This window comes from Homo sapiens, chromosome 7 (genome assembly GCF_000001405.40).
Source record: "Homo sapiens chromosome 7, GRCh38.p14 Primary Assembly".
Lineage (NCBI taxonomy): Eukaryota > Metazoa > Chordata > Mammalia > Primates > Hominidae > Homo > Homo sapiens.
In genome coordinates this window covers 114,631,177-114,652,405 of record NC_000007.14, presented here as the reverse complement: position 1 = coordinate 114,652,405, position 21,229 = coordinate 114,631,177, and the positions used below count along the sequence as shown (strand labels likewise).

Here is a 21,229-nt window from a genome sequence, read left to right as displayed (position 1 = left end):
AGTATTGAATGGCTAAGACAGTAAAATGCAGGCTGAAAGACCCAGAATCTGCTCAGTACTCAATGTAACACACCAGAAATCTAAGAAGAGTCCATTAAGTGAGCATTTAACAAACCTGTATTTCTAACTGTTGCACCACCTGCATTTGCACTCGACACTGAGCAGTGCTTCGGTCATCCAATGCGTGTTCATTGTTAAGGTGCCTAAACAAACAGAAGACACAAAACAGAATGTAAAGTGATGTCGATCTTAGTGGCATAGGCTACACTTAAAAAGCACTACACTGAAGTCAGATGTTTCTGTGCACTGGGAAAACAGAAAGCCTTGAAACCATACAGATAAAAGTTAAAGCTGCTTACGTGTTGTGTGAAAATTATTTATGTAATGTAAAGAGACTCTTCAAATGGCAGAAAATGTCACTGTCTCTAAGCTTACCTGTTATTACAAAAAATATTTCCCCAGACCATTTACAGAGTTATAGTAGAAGTCATATTATTTATGCCATTTTTTTAAAAAGAACAGCTTACAAATCTATGAACCAAAAGCAATTCTGAAGAGAACAAAGGCAATTTTCTATTTCATTGTTAGAACAGTTTGTTGTTTCTATGATGTATTTTAGTGAGCAATGTTTTATTTCATTGGGATGTGGTATGAATTAGGTAAAGATGGCAAATTATCTCCCGTGGAAAATCAATATTTATGAAGAATGATGATTTGCTGTTAGTAATAAAGAACTTCATTGAAGATTTTGATCATTAGAATAACAAGATTGACATTTCATGTCCAGTGTTCTAACTAGGAGACATTTGTCCTAATCTTATTTTTAAAATGGTGAAAAATAAATCATTCCAAATGATCTCACTCTAACCTTGAATATGCATTAGTCTACCATTATTATTTCTATACGATGTTTAAAGAGATCTCTTTAATGAGTGGTATGTTAATACACCAAAAGTAATTTAGTAAAGCAGCATCTCCAATGAACATGAAAACATTTAATAATATATACTCTGTAATTTGTAATACATAATGTCTTTGATGCTTCCCAAAATTAAAGAAAGTAATCTTCAAGTAATTCAATATCCTTTAGTGTATCTATTTCACCAATGGGCAAAGTAAGGCAACAATTTCAGAGATGTTCTCATCATTGCATATAAGTGAAATGGCATATTGAAAAGAAATTCACAAAATTAAATAAGAATTTATATATTTACCCAAGTGGGCTCAAGTATCATTTAGAATGATATAATAGTCTAAAAAGTTTATAATAGCCCTGGGTATACTGAATTCAACAAATATATTTTTGTATCCATTCAAATTATTTACTTTTATTTCTTGAAGATCACAGTGAGGCAGAAAAAATATAAGACACATACATGTAAAACATATGAAGAGTAATTAAAGTCGTGTTGCTGATAAAAACTAATTTTATTATAAACAAAAGGTTTATTTGTTTATATACCTAGGTTCAACAATCAGAAACCTTTGTTTTGCCTATACCTTGATAAATTAAACCAGTTTGTTTTAATACTTCCTTATTGATCATAACAACAAAACCTCCATGTATCTTGTCACAATGTCAGTCTTGGTTGAAGAGAAACTGTGGACTAAAATAGCAAGGTGGATAAGGTCAAGCTGAAGGAGTGTGGCTGGAGTGCAGGGGAGGCACTTCCACTATACCTGTCTGCTCTCTAAGCTCAGCTCAGGTTTGTTCTGCTGTGAACCTGTGAGGAGGATTAACATTCACTCATGCTCTCTGGGAAGGAGGTATGGAATGTGAGAGTAAGCCAGAGGTTAGTTAACAGAAAGTGTCACCAATTCCTAAATAACAAGACTACATTTAAAAATTGTTTCCCAGGGTTTTTTCCCCCAAAATTTAAATGAACAGTAAGACAATTTTCTACCAGCATAATACAGTTGTGTGTTGTATTCTTAAGGCTTCATATTGCTGTGTTTCCGTAAGATTTTTTTTTTTTTCACCATGAACTCTTGGGGAACACAAACATATTTATTCCATATAAGAAAAAATGTTGCATATTTTCAAAAATGCTTCAGTTATACACTGAGATTAGGGTGTAAATGCAGGAAGCAAGATAAGTAGAACATACAGGTCTGCAATAAAAGGCATAGTCACTATAACATTTTCTTGTGAAATCACTTTTTAAAATGATTTTCTACACTTGTTTACTGCTTAGTGATAATCATGATCTTATATTTAAAGAACTAAAAAAAGTACAAAATGTTTGCTTTATATACTTGGGTCTTAGAGCCCTATTCAATTTATCTATGCAGCTTTTATTAGAATAGAGACTGTAGACTACAATAATAGTCAATGAGGTTTTGTCTTGATTGAATTTTTCAGTGGAACACAAAAGAACCTTGCCATTAAAATAGTCCTTTATTCTCCTGTATGAAGGCGAAAGGTTTTTAAAGTGTTGTGATGTTCAGTAATGAGCCTCTATCTAAATTATCATTGGTGACAAACTCACAAAGCACTTTTCGAGGACACATAGTTATGAAATGCCAGAGCTGCCACTTTCTTTCCTGTAATTATAGGCTAGCTTGCAGCCCTTCAATGATCATTTATAGAACAGCCTCCAGTGGATTACTGAGAACTTGAAAAACACATACATACCTCTGCCACATCTCCCTTCTCCTTTCCTCGCTATTGTTTACCAGTGATATGTAAAAGAATAGTGCCTATTCATTCCCTCTACTTAATTATGCCAATCAAAGTACAGAAATAGTGTCAGATATAAATACAATGTAATAAGACTAAATAAATAGGCTAAGTATTAACATTAAATTATGAATTTATGAATTTATGACTATTTTGTGCCGAAATTATTCTCTTTTATGTTTTTATAACTATCTCAGGTACTACATATTACTGTTCAAAAATTCTCTATGATTTATAAATCAAGAATGAGATAATACTGAAAAATGAGAGGATTGGTGGATTTTCTCAGTCAGTGCCTAATTGCTGTTTCAAAATGCATATGCAAAGGGACATTTCATTAATCATTTAATCATGTCCCTTGCAGGAAGTTGGAACTAATGTTGCAAATACCCTTTTCATATGAATGCTCCATAATACTATCTTATGCATTTGATATATTGCCTATGTCATAAATTACGGCTGCTTCAAAAGGACCAAGTGGGGTTGTTATCCCTGAAGATGCTTGTTACAAAACCTTTATTAAGTTTCTTTTTTTACTTATTGGTAGTTCTATTTCACAGCTTCATACTAGCCAACAATAATACTTTTTCTGATGGCAAAGGTCTGTAAATTACCCATGCAATCACTAACACCATTTCACAGGCCTGTTCTACTTCTACTGGTCTGCTAACAAGGCGATTACACACAAATTACTGAATGCCTATGAAATATTTAAATGCATTCTACTCTACTATGCATTAATAAGAGCAAAGCAAGCTCTGGAATTCTGGTTAGCTCCAGTCCCTAATGTCCCCTAATGAGCCTCTTACCGAGACTGCAGTTCAAACAGAGAGGTGAAGAAAAAATGCAAAGGGTGCCTTCAGAAAGGCAGCACTGAACAAACATTGTGTGAGCCAATTCTAATTTATGGGTCACTTTATAGGTATATTGATTTTTGTTTTCAAAATGGAATAAATGATGTGGTCGACTGACGTTCTTTCAAAACTGCATTGAATCTGTGTGTTAGGTAGGTAGTATCAACTAGATACATAATAAGCAGTCAAATTCTTTCTAAAAACAATTAAGCAAGCACTTCAGGAAGACAAAAAGTAGGAAAGGATCCTTCCAATTTATTTAATGCATAATTCTCTTTAATGAAGGTTTTATAGATGATTATGAATGTAAGTGGTAACTTCAATTATATACAATCCAGATTAGTGATTCAATTTTAACCTCTGGATTTTTCATATTCATTTAAAGTTGTAGCATTTTATAAGCTAAAAAGGGATCAGATTTAAATCCAAGTATGTCAAAGACTGTTTTAACAAAATGTTTCACTTGCATATCACTGGTGTTTGATTTATTTTGCATCAAGCTTTTTATGTTTAAACACTGACAGGAGTTTAAATACAAAATGTTAGCTGTCACTATTCATTTAGTTGATTATGTGAGATGCCTTAGTTTTCAGAGATGGGGGGGCACTGTCACCAAAAGAAACAACATTCTGACAAGTTCAAAGAATGCCTTCTTGAGGTCATAATTTTGTAGCCATGCTGCCTAGTCAAAGACAAAGAAATAGACAATACACATTAAGTAAGAGCATAATTTTTAGAGTAGTCAGCTGCAATGAAAAAGAAGACAAATTTCTATTAAATAAACTACTCTGTTTCCACTGTTTTCTATTGCTCTTCATATAGTATCAAGCCTTAAAAATTTAGTCTGTAATAAATTTAACTCATTTACACCCATCTACTAATTAATCTTTAATACATTAATATCTTTATAGACACTAGCCATCCTGCCTTTCTTAAAGGAGAGTATTTCCACCTTTGTATCTCAGACCATGTTTTGTGTGTTGGCATCTATGCTTGCAGGTTCAAGAACACTTGTCTGCTAAATGGAATGTTATATTGTAAACCTTTTGGCTTAAGCTCTAAAAGTCAATTCATCTATATTCAAGCTGACTTAGTTCCAATGGAATGATAATTAATTTTGCAGACAAACTACTCTAAAGTTTTGTCAGATGTTATTACTCTTTGACATTTATAAGACAGTAATGAAGAACTAGTATTAAATGCTTTTAGTGATCTAGTGAGATACTCAATTAGTGGTCAGGAAAAATGGTTAGCTTCTGTCAACACCTACTTTACACTAAAACTCAAAAATTTTCCTCAACACTTTTTTATCCTGGACTCCCTTCATCATTTTGTATTTTCTGCTTTCATCTTGCTGTTACAAATAACTACTTCTAACTTAGTCTGAATTTTTTTTATCCAATGGAAAAGAGTGCCTCAATTAAAAAGTATATAAGAATTAAAGAATATATAAGAATAAGAATATATAACACATAAATATATACGATACATAAATATATATAATATACAGGTACATATATATGTGTTATACATAAGCAACTGTCCTATAATGGCTTTTCATTTGGTGCAAGATAAAAATAGAGGGATTCCACCAGTTTGTTTGAGATGTAATGTGAAAAAAATAATTTGGGACTCAATATATTTTCTATTATTCTTTTTAATGTAACATATGTCAGCTAAACAGTAAAAATGAATGGTTTCCTTTTATTTCAAACCAAAAGATAAGTTATCTGATATCAAATTAAAGTCGAAGCTGTAAAATTTATTTCTAGCGTATACTAGAACTAAAAATGCACAATAATATTTTCCTAAAAAACTTTTATAATAAACACTGGATATACAATTTAGGGAGAATGGATACACAAAAAAATGAGAACTAAAAATCTTTCACAGCTTTTTAATTTACCTATCATTTTGCTCCCCAAATCCTCAATTTTCTCCATTATTACAAAGGAAAACAAAGTCCTCTGAGAAAATCTGTCGAAGTGATTATGCTTTCCTTCTTCATTTTCACTTCCCACACAGATGCTAAATAAACTTTTTTTGAATAACCGAAGTTAATTCATTTAATGAGATATTTTCTTTCTTTTCCAATTTCTAACACATTTTCAAGAAGACAATGCCACTACAGAAAGTATATCTAATCGATATTTCACTTCGGTCAGTATACTTACATTAGCTCTGTTAACAGAATTTATCACAGATCTTTGAGTTAGTGAATCTAAAGCATATCAAAATAAAAATGGACTAAAAAAAGGCTTTAAAACCTCCTGTCATTAGTTCTGTCATCCCTATAAAGTTAATGGGTTGGAAAAATGGTCAGTCTTTGGAACCAAAGTTGATATTTAATTGAAAGGAAATGCTTTTTTAATTGTAATTTCTTTGGTTTTTTAAAAAACACTGGCATGAATATGAAAGAAGACTATTTAAGGTAAAATGAGGGTTCATATTCATCTGGTTGTCAGTAATAAAAACATAAATATTTGAGCTAAATTAAATGCTTCTTTCAATTTGCTATAAACAAAATCATACTGAAGGAAAATATGTATTTTTCACCTAAAGATTTATTTTGAATTTTGTCAGAAAGAACAATTTGGAGCAATAAAATGCATGGTGAGTGGGTTAGTCCTATGGCATAATTTGCCATTCTTAAAAAAATGTAACAATAGCCCTTTACATAATTTCAATGACAAGGAATAATACATTGATAAGGACTAATGTATTCACATGAGGAAATGGGAAATAATTTGTTAAAATAACATCCCTATGTTCTTTCTTTGCTTTAACAATTTTTTTTTTTTTTTTTTTTTTAGAGAAGAAAACTTCAGCAAAGCTACCTAACATTTTTTAATGGTCTCTTTGCTTATAATCAGTTTCATACCCAAGGAAATGGCAGCTCACAACTGTTTTGATAAAAGAAAAGTGTAAATTTTCATTTAAGGCCATTTACAAAGAGCCATAGTGGTATATGAAGCAAATTTTCTCTTAATTAGTTAGAAATGATAAAAGGTTAAAAAAATCTTTGTGGAAGTCTTACTGTAATTCATTTATAAAGTTATTGTGATGCCAAGTACTTGTGCCTGGTTGTTAAGGTGCTTTTGCTCTATACCCTGTAGTCAGTCTTCCATTTGTAAACACATCTTTTTGATGTTTCTGCCAACATCCTGGCAACAAAGCAGTGCAATTTCAAATGAGCTAATTAACTTAATTGTTGATGAAGCATGAAACAGTTCACTCACCCTGTTAGCTGCACCATGACAACATAAGAGTCTCAGCCTGTGAAGTTACTCATCTCCATAAGCCTATCTGTAGCTCTCTGTTTAGATCTCTTGTACACCAGAATTGTGTAAGGAAAACATTTCATGAAAGATGAAGATTTTCACTTGAAAAAGAACCCCTTATGATTTTTTTAAAAATAAAATTTTCTATTAAAAATTAAGAATACACAAAGTTTTGGTTTTAAGCTAGAGAAGCCATGTAATCTGTTATACAAACATATAGCCATGTGTGTTTCTTGATGTTTCTAAGGGCAAAAAGTAACAATGTAAATGAAATGTAGTTTTTTTAATTTTAGCCAGTATAAACTTTCACTTTTAATTCTTGTAGTTACATGTATATACTAAATACTACTATTTTAAAAAATATATAAAGCCTGTAATTAAAAAACGAACTTTCAAAATATGTTTACTGAAATATATATATATATATATATATATATATATATATATATATATATATATATTAGGATGACTCACATAATATTAATTAGAAACTTAAAACTTAAGAGAATTCTATTTTATAAATAGTTCTGTTATAAATGTCTCCAGTGATTAATGACATATTATTGTAGGCTAATATTTTTCATTCATTCAAAAATCTTTACTAAATGATTTGTAAAATATCTTAATGAAAAGATGAAGCCTGATCTTACTAATCCACTTGTTGGAACCCACAAAAATCTTGAAGTATGACTTATAATGGACTTTTACATTCCTCCTTCATCTTTTGTTTATTTACAATGTGCCTAAAATGCCCATATAATCCAGCCCCCGCCCCCCACCAAAAAAAAGTAAAAAACCTACTTTAAAAACTGTCCAAAATCTTCACAAATGCTTTCACAGCCTGGCCATTTGCAAACTCCATGGCCATAGAGAGTGTGAGAGGCCCCAGTCTCCTCATGTGACGAGCTGTAGCAAAAGAACACGACGTCAGATTCATCTCAAAAAGCTATAATCGTTGCAGGCTGCTAGCGCCTGTCAGGTTACGATCAGTGACAAACAGGTCAAAACAGGTCAATTCAGCTCAGAGCAGTCAGAAAAATTTAATCGTTCTATTGAATAGTTCAACTGCCAAGGCTAGATGATGTTCCAATTAGAGGAGAAATAGAGCCAAAGATGACTGTTAATAAAGGATGAAAAACTAAGAGGACTGTATAATATCATATGCTAATCCTGCCTTATGACCTTAATGTAACATTTTATCTCTAAATAAAAAATGTATATTCATATGTGGTCAAGTGAAAAAAACCTTTATTTTCAAGAGAATAATAGGACAGCCATCATAAGATTTTGAAATGCTCTTTTTAAAGAAGATATGGACCTCTAGGATCATTTAATTTGTTTAATATTTATGTATAAACCACATATATTTCTACTAGTTACACCTGATTTAGAAAATCTACTTTGGAACAGTATTCATTAGCTTTATCTTTATATAATTATTGAAGACTTTTGATAAGTGAATATTAGAGAGATCCCAGAGAAATCAACCAAGTTTTGGAATACACAATCATCAAATTAATCTCAATTAAAACAACAGCATGAAAGCATTCAGGAGCATACCACTTTATACTAATAAAACCAAACAAGAAAAAGTTTCCATGATACTCAAATGAAGGCCAGAAACATCACTGAATTATAGAATTTTATTTTAAACTGTACTATAATTAAATATCTGTTTCTTTGGAAAACATTTGTTTATGACAAAGAATTTGTTATGGCAAGGCAGATATTCATATTGCATAACAGAACACTATCAGTCCACTACACTTACATATGAAGTTTGGAGCTATATATAAGCCTAAGCCATTATGTTAAGAATTCTACACTTACATTTCATCTTTCAAAAATAGATTTTTCACACTGAACAATATTTTAGTTTATGAACTATATGCAAATTACTTTAAAGGACTTGATTAGAGAGCAAGATGCCTAAATAAATGGAGCTAAAGGACAAATGTACATGAATGCTCCTTTCACAAATGCAATTTTTATACAACTAAAAACAGTAGTTAAAAATTATCAAAAAAATTATCTAACATAACACATTTAATATTAATAACTGAAATAAAAAATTTTTCTTTGAAAGTTTAGTTGAATTTAATCATAAAATTACCAACATATTTATCTTTATATATTTACTTATTTCATCATGCAACAATTAAAAAGGCAAACCAGATTTTCCATCATCTAGCTTATTATGCTTGTGTTTATATATTTATCTGTTCTCTGATTTCTAATTCATATGTTTGAAACATATAAGAGAGATATCCATGCATCTTTAATTATTTGAAATTAAAGAACTGATTTTTAGCTTAAAAAATGTTCTCAGCAATCAGGTTAATCATATCAGTCATAAAAATATATTGATACAATCATTCCACATGCACTCATGAAAAAATAAATTTCTTCAGGCAAACTCCCAAACTACATCCATCAAACTTTTGGTATTTGAACTGCTTTTCTGTAATATAAAGAATATAGGCCGGGCACGGTGGCTCACGCCTGTAATCCCAGCACTTTGGGAGGCCGAAGCAGGAAGATCACGAGGTCAGGAGATAGAGACCATCCTGGCTAACATGGTGAAACCCCGTCTCTACTAAAAAAAATACAAAAAATTAGCCAGGCGTGGGGGCGGGCGCCTGTAGTCCCAGCTACTCGGGAGGCTGGGGCAGGAGAATGGCAGGAACCCGGGAGGCGGAGCTTGCAGTGAGCCAAGATTGTGCCACTGCACTCCAGCATGGGTGACAGAGCAAGACTCTGCCTAAAAAAAAAAAAAAATATATATATATATATATATATATATATATATATTATATATAAAATAAGATAAATAATCTAAAGATTTCTAATCTGTTGTTCTATACATTTTGTCCTTGCTCCAAGTACAAATTGTTCTTTTTCATTGTCTCAATGGTGAAAATAAAATCTGAAAATAGATAAATATAGAATAAAGCTCATGAGATTTACCTGTCTCGTCTTGCACTTAGAACTGAAGACTGTCCATTCACTATGGAATGATGAGTTATTGGTGGTGATGCTTTGGAAGTGTTGGAGGAGGTAGTCGAGGAGGAATTGTTAGTAGTGAGGTCTAGCCCTCCATGTTTAATGCCATTGTCTTCCATACTGTGAACTCCAGTCACTTCTTTCCATAACTGCTGAATCTCAGCAGGACTTAAGCCAGCTATAAAATGAAAGAAAGCTTCACTAGCATAACAAGGTAAAGGTAAAGTTTATATAATGAGCTTTGTGTTATTAATAGATTAATACCAACAACAACAGTGATGTTACCTGCATAAATTAATATACAACAAAAAATCACTTTTACACTATCAGCACCAAAGCTTTTGTCTTGAAAAACAATCATTTATTTTCTAAAGAGTACCAATTTGGGAATAGTATGGGGAATAATGCCATATGAAATTACTGAGAATAATATCAAGCATTAAAAAAAAATCCCTGCATGTTCCATTTAAAAATTGAACTAGGGCCAGGCATGGTGGCTCACGCCTGTAATCCCAGCACTCTGGGAGGCTGAGGTGGGTGAATCACTTGAGGCCAGGAGTTCGAGACCAGCCTGGCCAACATGGTGAAACCCTGTCTCTACTAAAAATACAAAAATGAGCTGGGTGTGATGTCACATACCTGTAATCCCAGCTACTCAGGAGGTTGAGGCGGGAGAATTGCCTGAACCTGGGAGGCAGAGGTTGCAGTGAGCTGAGATTGTACCACTGCACTCTAGCCTGGGTGAGAGTGAGACCCTCTCTCAAACAAAAACAAAAAAATAAAAAATAAAAATAAATAAATAAATAAATACAAATAAAAATTGAACTATTCAACTTTTAAGAGTAGTTTTTACCTATTGCTAGTATTAAGGTTTGTTTTTAAATCAGTGAGGAACTGAAAGAGAAACAGATTTCAAAATAATATCAAAATAAATAAATAAATAAAAGGGAAAACAAAAATGCCAGGGAAAAACAGTGAACACTCAACTCAAAAAAATAGGAGATTTGACAATTATCTGTTCATTTTGATATTTCTCAGAGGGATGAACTAAATAGCTAAATTTAATTTTGGTGTCTTAAACAAACCAATATGCTTACTTAACTGGATCAGTTAAGAAGATTATATCTAAACTTCTCCTTCATTTATGACTGATAGAGTAAATCAACTACTCATTTTAAACAATTCCCTGATTCAGGTTATGCAAATTTATTTGAATTATACAACAATAAAAATAGAAAAGCTAGATATAATCATTTAGTTTTTAACTATGAATTTGAAATAAAGTATTGAGAGACTATTGCTTACAGTATTTGACTTACAAAATAGTACTGTGTCTTTGTATATTTTTTATAGACCTTGTGCTTTTTAATCCTCAGTACAAACTAATAGAGTTGGTATGATTAAGCAATTCATGGAAAAGGAAACAAACTAAGAGAGAAGTTAAAAAATATGTCCAAGATCACACAGCTTCTACGTGGTAAAGTTGTGATTTAAATCCAGGCAGTCTGGCTTGAGTATATTTGCTATTAAAATACTATATTAAGAAAATATTAAAACTACTGAATAAATAAGTACAGGAAAAAATGAAGAGAGTATTTACTATATTCTGGCATTTTTACTAAGAGCTTTACATTTATAATCTTAGTTAACCTCACCTGAGGTTAGAAATCATTATATTTTACAAGAAGGCTCAGAAACATTAAATATGTTCCCCCAAATCACCCAATTTATGATCAGTGGGCAGAATTCAAACTCAATGCTCTGTAGCTCCAAAATCTATGTTCTTAATTACTATGTGCATCTATAACATCTAATATAAAGATGAAAGTGCAACTCAAACTACCTCTCCCAACCGAACATACATCTACATTAGATACTATAGTGATGTAAGAGATGTGTGGGGTGAAGCAGGTTGGAATAGTCACGGGAGATGGGGCAAGATAACAGAATATGATGGTGAGAAGAATGAACTCTCTCACCCCAATCCCTGCAAATGGAAAAATCCCTGATCTAGATATCACTATATCTAAGTATTGGCCAGTAGCCAATAGGAACAGAAGAATTCTCACTGTTCCAAACATAACTTCTGGTTATATTATTCATCACAGCATTAACCTTAAATAGCTATGCCTATCACAATTTCGTACAGGTAGTTTTACTGAAGGCTATCATTTCAGTGATTCTGGCTCCTTGAGATTTAAGACAAGGACCTAGCCTAAAGAAAAAACAGGATAATTCGGGTTTCCAAAGTTACTACAACCCATTTTTTTTCCATAAAAAAAGAAAGTGGCTTTATAAAGAAAGGTTTCTCTGTTACATAGGAAACAACTTTTTATATAAAGATCTATAATTATTGCTTTAACCTAGAATTCTGAAACTCTTCTGACAGTAAATTTTGATTATCTGTTGGTGTATGTTAGGTGTCCCAACAGGAAAACTTCATTAGCAAATCCTTTTTCATGATAGCACCAACATGTCTTTTGCATTAGAACTTTCACCATCTTACCAGCTGCCTCTCTGCTGTATTGTCAACTCTTGCCTGGATCACAGCTATAGCCTTCCAACTGTCTTCCTGCTATTACCTTGCCTTGAATATATGAATTTACTCTTCATGGAGTATCCAAGTATTCTCTCTATAAATGTAAATTAGGTCATGTCGCTTCCCAGGCAAGGCCTCCAAAGGCTTTCGAGAATACTTAGAAGAAAACAAAATGACAAAACAACAACAACAACAGAAACAAAAACAACCTTTAATATAGCCTATGGGGCACTGCACTTATTATCTGGCTCTTGCCTGTCTCTCTGATCTCATCTACCGCTCTCTCTTCACTTTTCATTCTGTTATACCAGCCTTCTGTTGCTTCTCAAATGTATCAAACATTTGCTCCCTTTCCAACCTTTGCTCTGGTTGTTCCCACAACCTGTTCTTGGCTTCCTCCCTCCCTTTACTTAGATGGTTCAAAGTTCACCTCCTCTAAGTTTCCAACCATACTATCAACCCCTGCCCCTCCCCACCCTCCCTTCTAGCATTCCTTAACTCCTCATCCAGCTTTTTTTTTAAAATCATGTAACAGTTTCTGAAACCATTTAACCTATCTATCTATCTAGTCTACCTCTTGTTATCACCAGTCTCCTTCTAATACAACTGAAGTTTTATAAGAGTAGGAATTTCTTGTTTTACTGGTGTATCTCCACTGCCTTGAACAGTGCGTGGCATGTGCTCAATAAATATTTGTAGATTCCATTGATTATAATAGAGTCATACATTTCTTGAAGACATGTTGGTGCCCACATGGAAGTTTTGTGACTCTTAAAGGGCATACTCTATATGAATATTGCTACAATACAAGACCAGTGTCTAAAGAATTATATATGGCACTAGTTGCTTCTAACATAGATTGAGTGGCTAACAACATTTTATATCTCAGTTTAAGACTCTTAGATGGTTTTAGAGATTATACCAACTAACGATGTTACTGGTAACTCAGTTTTTGGATTTTATTAATAATTTAGTTATGTAAGTATCCACTTGCCTTCTAAAAGTAGATTTCTATGATACTATTCATTTGTACTGAAAATTAGTGATATAACCGTGCTATTGTAATGAAGTAACAAATGTCAGGCAGTTAGTAGGCCCTCAATAAATATTAGATGAATAAATGGCCTGTTCAAATAATCCAAATAATGTTTCTTAATTAAAAACAGGAAGACACAGTGTTAAATTATATAATAGATAAGAGGCAGAGAATAAAAGAAGTCAAAAAATTCCTTTTAGCGGCAGTGGATCCTCAAATGTCTGCATATTAGAATCACCTGGGCATATTTTAAAATCTCTAAAGGCCTTACCACAACCCACACCAATAAAACCACAATTTTAGAGGGGAAACACAGGCATTAGTAGTTTTTGAAGCTCCAAAGGTGATTCCAATGCACAGATAATTTTGGGGGGACATTTTTAAAAAGAAAACTATTACCTTGCTCTTGGGACAAAGCTTTCAACCTAAAAATTGCTCAGCTCTTTTATATGCTTACAAAACTACTTATGAAATGTGAAACAACTAGCCAATCGATTTTGTACAATTTTGAAAGTTTTATGAGCTTTGAAGGCTTGATGGTTTGCAATGATTAATCTAGGTTATTCTTGAGGCAGTAATATAACAAGTTCAGTATTTCCAAAACAGTGTTCTATGGAACAGTAGTCTTATAAATGCTGTTAATCTAAGAGATCTGTGGTCTCTGTCTTGGGGACTTATTATTCATGTAAAATAGTTCTGAGATGTGTAGTAACAAGGAAAACCTGAATCTCATTTTGAAGTCAGCGTTTTCCAATTCTATTTGAGCAAGAAAAACCCAAGAAACTCTTTATAATTACACTAGTTTGCGTAAGTTTTAAATACCAGGTGTAAACTTAGGAGTCACCAACTGATCCCATCCCATACCCCTCCCAGTCTTTCTATTTGAAAATCCCATGTAACCTTATCCGTTTTCTTAAACTTTCCATGTTCAAAACTAAGCTCCTGTTTATACAGCCCCCTCCCTCAACCCCAACTCAGTCCTCTTTAGAGTTTTCTTTGTCTCTGTTTTATTTAACTGATACTTACATAGTGCTTTTGATATGGCAGACATTCTTCTAAGTGCTTCACATATGATATCTAATCTAATACCCCAAACCATTATTATCATTATTATTGCTCTTATTATCCCTATATTAGAGATGGGGACACTAAGGCAAAGAAAAGGCCTTGCTCTAGAGCTACTCTGTCGCAGAGCTTCCTCTCATTTTCAGGTCATTACTCATTAACCCTTTTCTCAGGACTCCTTCTGAGGGTCACCCCATTTTCCTATTGTTACTTAGGCTTTTCCTATTCTTGCCTTTATTTCTCTCCTTAGCGCTCACCACTATATATTTTACTTAACTTATTTATCATCTGCCTTCTACACTAAAATGTATGTTTTATGATGGCAGGGATTTCTGTCTGTTTTCTTCACTGCTATATCCCCAGTGTCTATAAGAGTGCCTGCAGTCACAGAAAGCTCAAAGAATGTTACTTGAAAGAGTTTTAAAATTTGGCCAGAACACTCGTGTACTGGCAAACATACTCTGGGAATCTGTGGACTAGACTATTATGATTAATAGACAACTTTTATCTTAAGTGAAGATTATTCGGTTTCTCTTATTTCAAGGATATATATACTAGTAGTGCCAAAAAGTTTTGTAATTATGCAATTTTAAAATTCCGTGGCCACAAAAAATTGGGAATCCCTATTCTACTTTTGGTTGATAACTTGGGCTTGTGCTTATTCACTGCCAGTACCACAAATATTAAAAGGTTTTTACCACAGGAGCTGAGTAAATGAAAGGGTAATTCCTTAATCAAATTGTCTATCATACCACAGATAATACAACTTAATAATAATTCTTAAGACATGGTCTCGCTGGAGTGCAATGGCATGATCACAGATCACTATAGCCCTGACCTGGGCTGAAGTGATCTTCCCTCCTGAGCCTCCCAAGTAGCTGGGATGTGACCGACCACAGGCATACGTCATCATGCTCAGCTAATTATTTTATTTTTTGTAAAGATAGGGTCTCACTATGTTGCCCAGGCTAGTCTTGAACGCCTGGGCTGAAGTGATCCTCCAGCCTCAGCCTCCCAAATTGCTGGGATTATAGGTGTGATCCACTGTACTTGGCCTAATAATAATTCCTTAATCCCATATTCAGAGTTTGTGGAGTATCTACAAGATGACAAGCACTGTGCTAAGAATTAATTAAAATTAATTCATATCTAGATTATATGTCCTTAAGGCACACGAAGTTTAAAAATGTCTACGCTAGTTTCAACACAGCTTTGAAAATGCTGCTAAGATGATTTTTACTTATCACTAAAATAAGTAAAAAGCAATTTTTATTAGTAAAAAATCTCCTTGGCAGCTTTTTTACACTCAAAAAAAAAAAAAAAGATTTTTTCAATGTCATTTCTTTTTCTGTGTCCAGTAATTGATTTTTAAATGTTAAACAAATAATTGTATATATTATGATGCAAAGTATGTATACTGTTAATTTTTAACTAACTTATTTAGTGATACGCTACTTATTTTCTAAGGTTACTTATAATTTAAAGTAATAAAAGTGAGTTTTGGTAGAAACATTTGTATTATATATATTCTGTTAAGCCAAATTGATATTTAATATTTGAATTTGAATCACTGAGATATTACTATGTACTTTTCAGTTTTCATCTTAAATTTTGTATTTTAAGATGTGAAACTTAAAAACTGGTATACATACATGGCCAGAATAATTGAATCACAGAAAAGGGTATATATTACAAAAGTAAACTTCCCTACCAGCCTTGACCTCTGGATACCCATATCTCTTCTTCAGAAGAGAGTCCCAGTTTCTGGAGTATCCTTCAGAGATCTGGGTGTTCATTTATAATTTGACTAACTCAACATATTATTGATTTATATTTGACTAGAGGTCTACTATCACCTACAGATACAATGCCTATCTTTAAAATGCTTGTCTAATGAGAGGTGAATTAAATACATGCTTTGTCCAAATGCCAAATTTAGCAGAAGTAGGTATTCAGCTGAAACTGAGATCAAAGATAAATTATCTTCTCCAAAGAAGGAACTTCTGGGATATGTGAATACATCTGATATTAACAAAAATTAGTACTATCATTTTTTATAGGTTGCATTTCAAAAGCTTGATGGATATTCTATTACAAAACCAATGATGTTTCCTTTTTCTCATCATATTTTAATATGGCAAAGTTGACACACTGCTTTCGAGTCTTCCTCTCAAGATGTAAAGAATTGCCAAATAAAACTTTAAAAAAAGACTTAAGAGATAAATGGAATTAAATTCATTTTAATGTTATACATTCTAGTTCACAAAATAATTCTACAAGAATTATAGAGTTATGATACAGTTTAATCTCAATCTTTTTACATTTTTTCAAAAACTAACTCAACATACTCAATATTTTTCTATATATGTAAGTATTTACTAGTTTTTTAAACATAAAATTAACAGCATTCACAGGTAGCTTGGCAGAGTTTTATACCTGCAATAATAAATGTACATTAAAACTTCAATTCAGTGATGAAATTTTAGCACATAAAGCACCAAATAAGATTTTTTCCCCAAGTTACAAATGGAAAACTTTGATATTTGAAAGGGAATACTGACATGGTAATATTTTTGCATGACATGGATTGTTCATATTGGTAGTGTTGTTGCTACAATTACATACAATAGTAATCTATGCAATCACAAGATCATTGATTAAGCAGTAAATCCAGGATGCCAGAAGTAGGCATTTGGCTACTTAGACTTCCATAAGCATAGAATGAAGCCAAAGCCAAACAGCTAATTTTGGCTGAATATTGCGCCCAAAGACTATCTTCGGCACAATTCTAACTTAGCCTAAAAACATTATATTTTATTTCAAATATTTCATTTTTAATTATTATTCAACCACTCTTATTCTGAGAATCTCTAGTTCTATAATGTGTTAATTCAGAAGAATCCAGGCTAGAATCTAGCATTCTCTGTTTGGTCTCTCAAATTGGAAAGGAAAATCTTGTCTTCTAAATAACTTTTATAAATTAAAAAATATGTAAAAACTTGGAGTGACAGAAAATCATCACCACATGTATTCCTATCCATATAGTCATAGTAAATGTGTGAATATATTGTGGATTAGAGTACACAAACGTTTATCGGATGTCACAAACATATCAATGTTTAAAGTTAACTTCATCTTTCCTAACCAATAGACAATTATCCTGGTTCATTAAAATGTTTCACTAAATTTCATTACTAGATAATATATAAACTATGTTATTCATATATTACATAGATTTATAATCAGTATATTATTCAAGATGGAACTATAAATCCATCCTTTCTATTTGACATATGTATGTATATACCTATATACCTATACTTATGTATATATCTATCATCTGTCTGTATACAAACCAAACATATACTTAGGAGATGGAAGTTTACTTGCCTAACTAAAATCCAATATTATAGTAATATTAATGATGACCTTAAATGATTAATATTTAAAATAATTTACACTAAGATGATAAATATAAAACTTTAGAGAGGAATGTAGATAAATCTGCTATTCTACCAAAATTCTTATAATTTTATTATTTCTCATTGTTATATACATATATTTTAATATAATTTAAGAAGCTGTAACTCTAAAAGTAGCATGAAGAAGTTGTGTTAAATTATAGGGACAAATAAAATATGACATAGTTTTAGGTCGAGCACAGTGGCTAATGCCTGTAATCCTAGCACTTTGGGAGGCCGAGGCAGGCGGATCACTTGAGGTCAGGGGTTAGAGACCAGCCTGGTCAACATGGTGAAACCCTGTCTCTACTAATAATATGAAAATTAGCCAGGCGTGGTGGTGGGCACCTGTAATTGCAGCTACTCGGAAAGCTGAGGGAGGAGAATTGCTTGAACCCGGGAAGGCGGAGGTTGCAGTGAACTAAGTTAGCGTCACTGCACTCTAGTGTGGGTGACAGAGTGAGACTCCTCAAAAAAAAAAGAAAAGATACAGTTTTAAAGACACAATGAGAACATCATCCATCATTGCACATTAATCCTACTTGGTTTTTATATGGCTATTTTTCAAGGCTAATCAACCAATCAAAAACCTGGTAAAAAGTGAACTGGAAACTGATAATAAAAATATTCAAAATACTTTTACCTTAACCTCTAACTAAGGAAGAAATGATTCAGGGCTTACACTGTACAACAAATATTTCTTTACTTTTTCCCCACTCTAGTTTTGGGATTCCAGCATAGTACCGTAACGCTAGGTTCCTTTACTGTAGCTGGTGTATTCAACACACAATGAGCCTCCACAATGATATTTTTCACACTTAATCATCTAAATCGTAAAAAACAAGACAATGATGCCGGTTTGTGTGGCTTACATGGCAACAACACAAACTTTGATCGGTGAACCAACTACATTTGTGGCCCTACAATTATTCAGATGGATTTTTTTAACCTATATTAATGAAAACATAGTTGAGTGATTTCATCTTTTTTCCTTTTTAAAATATAAATTTTCTGCTCAAAGACAGATGTTTTCAGATTTACTTTCCTTTCCCTAAATGTTCGCCATTTTCTCATTTTATCTCTCATATATCTTATCAAGGATAAAAACAGAAGAAAAGAGAGAAACAAGGATTCTATGAAAATAAATTTTAATTTGAATTCAGGTAATTTCTATTTGAAAACTATTAGAATGATTATATCATTATAAATTTCATTGTTCAGAGAGATGTTTTTTGCTTGTTTTGAAAGAATGTGGTTTCACAATATGTTTTAAACAAGTTACACTGTGTTTCTATTAGCACATATTTTAAACTTTCTTAAAATGTTTACTTGAATTAATAAAATAAGATTGTGGTAGATCATGCTTTTCTGTTGAGGAAATTCTCATATAATTATATCCTAAATACAGATTTCATTTGAACTTGACTGAAAACAAAAACAATATTTTTTCTGTTTTAGTATAGTTTCTATTGAAGAAATCCATGTTTACACTGAAATAATTTTATAAACTCTTTTCTTTTTTACTTTTTCATGTCTTTAAATTGTATTTATTTTTCTAAAGAAGAATAATTGTGAATAGAACATTCATTGATATAATGACGCTATGATTTATTCCAATTTTCTTTAGAATATTTATTCCAATATTCTTTAGAATAACTCAGAAAAACAGGCTTATTGCCTTGTTTTTCTTTTGCTATTTAAACTTTATCTTTTTTGATTTCCTAGGAGTGCTTCAATCAGGTGAATTAGAAGATTTGAAGTCAAGTGAGAGAGGAAAACCAGGGGGAAAAAAGCCAAAGAGACATTAATTTGATAAATAAAAAGAGAGAACATTACCACGATACTCCTGATTTTCTTTAGTATGTCCTTTAGAATCAGCAAAATGTGCAGCCAATGCTACTACAATATGAACTCCTCTGTGACAAATATAATTAATTTGAATTAATGTACATTTGGATTAATGTTTGTCCCAACAAAATCCAAATGCAAGTTAGAATATCCCTTTATGAAGTGTAATGATATATAACTTACCTGAATTGAGAATTTTAGCACACAGTCATTTGTTTACCATTATTTGTCTTTTATAATTTAAAACTTTCCATTTCCCAAAAGTGAAGGGTTATGAATATGACACACAATTGTATTATCAGAGTACCTCCAAATTTTTCTTACAGAAAAATAAGAATACAGTTGACAGATTTTTTAAAACTATAGTTTACAATACATGCATAGGCAATGTTATTTGAGAGAAAAAAGAATGGATATGTCCTGTGACATAGGATGGGGTTCTACAAAGCTTAACTTGGAATGTGCTCTATAGAAATTCATGAAGCCTCTCTTTAACATGTGGTGATTTCAGTGTGAAGATTAGGAACTTTTATCTTTCTTTTATCAGTTGTCCACCAAACTCCTATCAGCTCACTTAGTTAAATGGACTGCTGTCAGCCTTCCCGGTAATCCAATTCCCTGCAGATCCTCCTGTATATTCAATAGTGCTTGAATTGTGTTGCCCTTATAAATCATTTTGTGCCCATAAGACTAATAAATACACATTTAATATCTAACAAAAACTTGAAAGTTTTACTTCACACTTGAAAGCAGTATATGGTAAAATTTCTGAGCCTCTAGAAAATAGGTCATGCCACCATGTTAACAATCACGTTTTAATAATAAATTTGAAAGTCATAAAAACAAAATTTCTCAAGGTATAAGGCAGAAAGGCCATGAAATGGTAGAAAGTACAAGATTTGAAATGAAGAGTGCACAACATTTTGTATGTACCTTGAGGCAGCGATTGGACAGGAAGTGCTGCCTGGCCAGGTGGAATGGAGATGAGTCCCTGACGCTGAAGGCTGAGCAGATGCTGCTGCTGCTGGAGTTGTTGCATCTGGAGAAGCTGCTGCTGGAAGACAAGCTGCTGGGCTGCCAATTGCTGTTGCTGCTGCTGCTGCTGCTGCTGCTGGTATCAGAAAACCCAAACCAGTAAACAGCAGAGAACATGGTCTGTACAAACAGCTCTCTTACAGGGAAATGCACACTCCTTTCATTGCCTGAGTGGGTTTTTTGGTCATCCCATAGTCAAAGTTCAGGGGCAGAATGTGAGTAAGTTCTAGATTTTCAGTTGCCTTTCTTTCAATTATTAAATCGTGTTAGAGAACCAAGGAACTTGCATCAAAAAAGTATGGAGCAAGGTCTAGAGATAGTATGTAATAAAGGTTCAGCTTTTTAAAATCTACTTATTGTAGATAATAATACATTTCTCTAGATTAAAAGAACACTACTTTACAGAAATAGTCAACTTCTACGACAC

General features: G+C 32.5%; 1 protein-coding gene across 8 annotated transcripts in view; it reads right to left on the bottom strand.

The window, feature by feature from the left end:
- Nucleotides 1-21,229, bottom strand: part of FOXP2 (forkhead box P2) — a 607,439-nt gene that overhangs the window by 41,360 nt on the left and 544,850 nt on the right. For 7 of the 8 annotated variants that reach the window (NR_033766.2, NR_033767.2, NM_148898.4 and 4 more), the window contains 4 exons: nucleotides 20,701-20,878; nucleotides 9,783-9,996; nucleotides 7,617-7,721; nucleotides 116-203 (listed from right to left, as the gene is read on the bottom strand). Coding sequence is in view for 6 of the 8 variants with exons in the window: in NM_148898.4 (NP_683696.2) it covers nucleotides 116-203; nucleotides 7,617-7,721; nucleotides 9,783-9,996; nucleotides 20,701-20,878 (585 nt within the window). In the remaining 2 variants the exon portion in view is untranslated. The remainder of the gene's footprint in view (nucleotides 1-115; nucleotides 204-7,616; nucleotides 7,722-9,782; nucleotides 9,997-20,700; nucleotides 20,879-21,229) is intronic. The other variant, NM_001172766.3, reaches the window with a different exon arrangement.